This window comes from Homo sapiens, chromosome 4 (genome assembly GCF_000001405.40).
Source record: "Homo sapiens chromosome 4, GRCh38.p14 Primary Assembly".
Taxonomy (NCBI): Eukaryota; Metazoa; Chordata; class Mammalia; order Primates; family Hominidae; genus Homo; species Homo sapiens.
The window spans coordinates 81,057,628-81,062,117 of record NC_000004.12 but is presented as its reverse complement, the minus strand read 5'-3'; positions in this window follow the sequence as shown (position 1 = coordinate 81,062,117).

Genomic DNA, 4,490 nt, shown 5'->3' with positions numbered 1-4,490 from the left:
CATCTGGCCTGAGCCCCCATGAAGTGGGGGTTGGTTTTCATTGCAACTTGGTGGTAGTTTGCCTATGTGCTGAATCTGAAAAGGTTCAGCATAATATTTTGAGCAAAGGGTTGGATCATGACCATATTTCTCTCCCTGCTTCTGTGATGTTCTAGTAGAGCTAGGCATTTCTCTCTCGGTTTCTTTCCCTTTCTTCCTCCCTCCTTCCCCCATCCCCAGTTCCCAGTTGTGAGCAGGTTGGAATGAAGGGAACATGAGGAAGAAACACCTGCTACCCGCTGATTTAACTTTTTCTAGGACATGTGTGTGTATGTGTGTGTGTATGCGGTGTGTGTGTCTGAGTATAGGGCTGGGATCAAGGGAATAAGGGGAAGAAAACACCTGCTACTCTCTGATTTAACATTTTCTGGGATTGGATTTTTTTTATTGCCCTCAAGGCAGTATTTTGATGAAACAAAAAGAAATGAGGAATAAACTCAAATCAAGTTGCCACCAACTAAAATTGAGCAGGCAGGGTAAAAATAATGCTTCTCAGGTATTCTGACCTTGTTAATTATCAACAGAGTAGCCTCCAACTGTCTTGCAAAATAGAGTTCTCTTTCTCTATGGGAGGTATCTCAAATACTCAGACAACTATGGCCTTGGACTTGAAGCAAACCAAAGATGGATTTTCTTTCCACATCCTCTGATGGACCTAGAGAAAATAGGCATGGTACACAAGGCAGGGAAATTCATACCAAAAAATGAAAATAAAACAAATCCCAACTACCTAAAATGATTACTGTATATAGTGTTTGCTTAAGTTTCATAACTTATGTTTATTTTAATTTTAAAAAGATAAGAGACAGTTCATATCACAAGATATGTTAGGCAAGTCACTTTTACCCCATTTCTCATTTTCCTCTAAAGGGCGCTCAACTTCCACCCCACTGGCTAAGAGAAAACAGTGCTGGGAGATACTTCTTGTTTTTTTCTTCCTCCTCTCATGGCTCTTCCCCATGGGAGAAGGAGCAATGATCCTACCGATGACAGGGTAAAAGCTGGTGGTTTGACCATTGGTTCATATTTTTAGTGGGGCCATGTTAAGATTTAAAGTTTAAGTCACCTGTGCTGTTGTTCTTTTGGCGTGTAGGGAAGGCCAGAATTTCCTGTTTAGTGGCATTGTGGAGATGAAGGGGAGGCTCTTATTAGTATACTACCTCTATTCTCCTTAGACAGGAACAGGAATTCCTTTGTACTCTCTGGGTGGAAACGGTGTTGAAGTAATATTTTCTGCTCTTGTCCCTATCCTTTCTCTTTAAGGGGAGAGACATATCTGATTGACGATGAGAAGAAATGGGAACTGAGAGTACACAGTTCAGCCTCACTTTGACTTTCCCTTTTTCAGAATTTATTTACTCAAAATGCACATTTTTCCATTTTCCAAAAATTCAACTCACTGAGACCATCTCTGTACCACCCGGGTTGACCTGAAATTGGGTGGGGAAGTTCAACTCAGGGGAAAGTTCTCAGATCCCAACACTAATCAAACATTACCCCATTATTAAAACTTTTTTTTGCTTTCTTTATGATGCGATAGTCTATTTTCCTCAAATTTCTCAGGACTCCAAGGAAAGATGGGTGAAATTACTCTGGCAGCTTTCTTTAAGTAGAGGCAACTGAGGTGAAGTGCAAAAGAATAGGACAATTGGGGTGAGATTATCGCTGCTGGAATCCCAGCCCTGATGCTACTAGCATGGTTCTGACCTAAGGTGTGTCAGTTATTCTCCTGGGTCAGTAAAGTGAGGATAATACGCACCAATACTTCTCAGGGTCAAATGAGGACTCATTCATGGAAGTGTATAAAATGCATTTAAAAAAATCAAAAAGCAAATTTCGAAGAATATTTACTTTGTGCTATGAACATTTATAAGTGTTTCATGTATAAAGGCTCAAGTAATTTTCACAGCCCTGTAAGGCAGGCTCTGTGTTTTGTTCTCATTTTACACATGAGGACATGGAAACAGAAAGAAGCTTAATAACTTGTCCAAGGTCCTACAGTAAGTGACAGAGTTGAGATTCTAACGTAAATTGTCTGCCTGTAAGCCTGTATCTATGAAATACAATATGCATAAAAATAAACTTTCATATACCAGAAATACACATATATAATATTTTAGTCTATTTTCTACAATTCATTTGGCTTTGTTTTTCGTTAAGGTATTAGATGCCTTAGTTATTTGTTAAAATATAGTAAGACAAATAATATCACCTACTTTTTATTATTAAAGTAAGAGGAAGAATGCTGTAAATAAAATGTAGGTATGAAAAGTAGAAGAGTCTCACAAACCCCATCACATGATAGAAGTGAGATAGAATCAACAATCTCCTAAGTTGAGGGACGGATGATCTATTACCCTGGTCCTTTCTTGTGTTCTCTCTTTCCCTTCCATCGTGACTTTTGTTGTTGCTTTTTTTCCCAAGACATGATCAGGAGAAAAATATTTATAAGTTGTGATTTAATATGGATGTTTGACTCATGGATTCTGGTATACTAGAGCAAAAAGGAATTTTTAACCACCACCTGGAGAAAATTAGGACATGTAAGAGGTGAAGGAACTTAGGAAAGTGCTCAAGCCCAGAGCTTAGCATTGCCATAGATTCTGATGTTGCTTCAAATGCAATTGAAAAAAACAAATATAACCCAAATTAAAATTTAAATATCATATTGTGAGAACATCCACTTTTTGTGAACAAAAGAGTATGAAGGGAAGGCTCACGGGGTTCTCACATTTTGTATGTTGTGGATGTAAATATATATAACTCTGTAACATTGTGCTTTTCCTATGTGAATATATTTTCATTTTACTGGTTGATATTCACTTGTTAATAGTTACATATAGCTAACTTCCAGTTCTGAGACTGCAGACAATGTAGGCATTAATGCTTTATATCATCAAGCACATCTCTACCCACTAAAATAGAGTTTTGTATGATGTGAGCAATCCTTGGTAATACTAAGTGGATGTGTGCTCAACGTTCTTATTCTTAACCTTAATTCCCACCATACCTTCTAATAGCTACAAAGATCAATTCTAAGTGGTATTTCAAGACAATCCTCTGGCATGAGAACTGAGGCAACTCTTTTGAAAGTATTCATTAGTCACAAAACTGGCTACCCTGAAAGTATGATGATTCCATCAATATTCCTCAAAGGCATACATCACTCTGCTACTAACTGAAAGAACCAGAATTCAAACTCAAGGTGGTATTATCTCAAGGAAGATGCTCTCTCCATAATGTTACAAAGAATTCTAATACCAGTTTTTCCAGTTGCTAGTCTTATGCAATTGGGCATACTTACTCCAGTATATCATAGTCAATACTGTTTGGTTGCAAGTTACAGATATTGGCTTAAACCAGCATAAGTACAAGTGAGTAATTGTTGAGTTTTCAGGGATAGCCAGTGCAAACCAAGGACACAAAGTTCGATTTATGAGAAAAAGATACAGGAACTAAAATATCATCAGGAAACAGAGCAGCCACTCTTTTTACTATGCAAGGCCCAATGCTCTATCCCTGGCCAATTTATTCTTCTCTCTTCACAACTAGCTTTTACAACGTTTCCACATGCCTGCTAAAAATCACTGGAAGCCTCCATTGCCAGCCATGCTGCTAAATAACCTCTCAGCTTTACCAGCATTGGTCCAATTTTGTCATGTGTCAAGGAACCATTCCTGTTGGTGGGGGCCAGTTCCAAAGGGAGGCATGATGGGTAGACATCCAAACTTACAGTATAGCATGTCTACATTTCCTCACTGGAAAATGGGAAGACTACATTAGATAATAGTAAAAATAATAACAATTGATATTTACTAAGTCTTTATTCTGTTTTAGACACTTGGCTAAGTCATTCACATGTATTATCTCATTAAACCTTGTAACAACCCTAAGAAGCAGAAAGTTTATTGTCCCATTTTATAAGTAAGATAAATGAGGCACTGAGAAGTTAAGGAACTTGTTCAAGATGATCTTTAAAATTTCCTTGTAGTTCCAAAATGCAAACATACACAGTGTTACAAAGATGGATTAAAATAATAAAAATAATATAAAAGCATATTTTATTTCTTAATTTCAGGTCATTTTTTTTCCTTAAAGAAAAAACTATGGCCTAAACAAAAAATGGCTAGAATATATCTCAATGATAAGATTAATTAAATTTAGATAGTTATCATTCTAAAAGAACAGGACATGGTAAGAATGATAGATGAAATAAAGTTATTGTCAAAATAGTGAGTCAGACATCCAGAAAGAAACAAAAGTCTCCAACTATAAAATGTGGAGTTTTTGGTTAAAAAAGAAAAGAAAATATGAAACAATTTAAGTTGAGTTTCTCAAGCTTGAAAGATATATTTTTCCTGATGGGTATATTTCAATCTTGTTTTACAACGATAATCATGTTATGTTAAGAGTAAGTTACGATGCTCCATTTAGAATACCATTTGAAAATG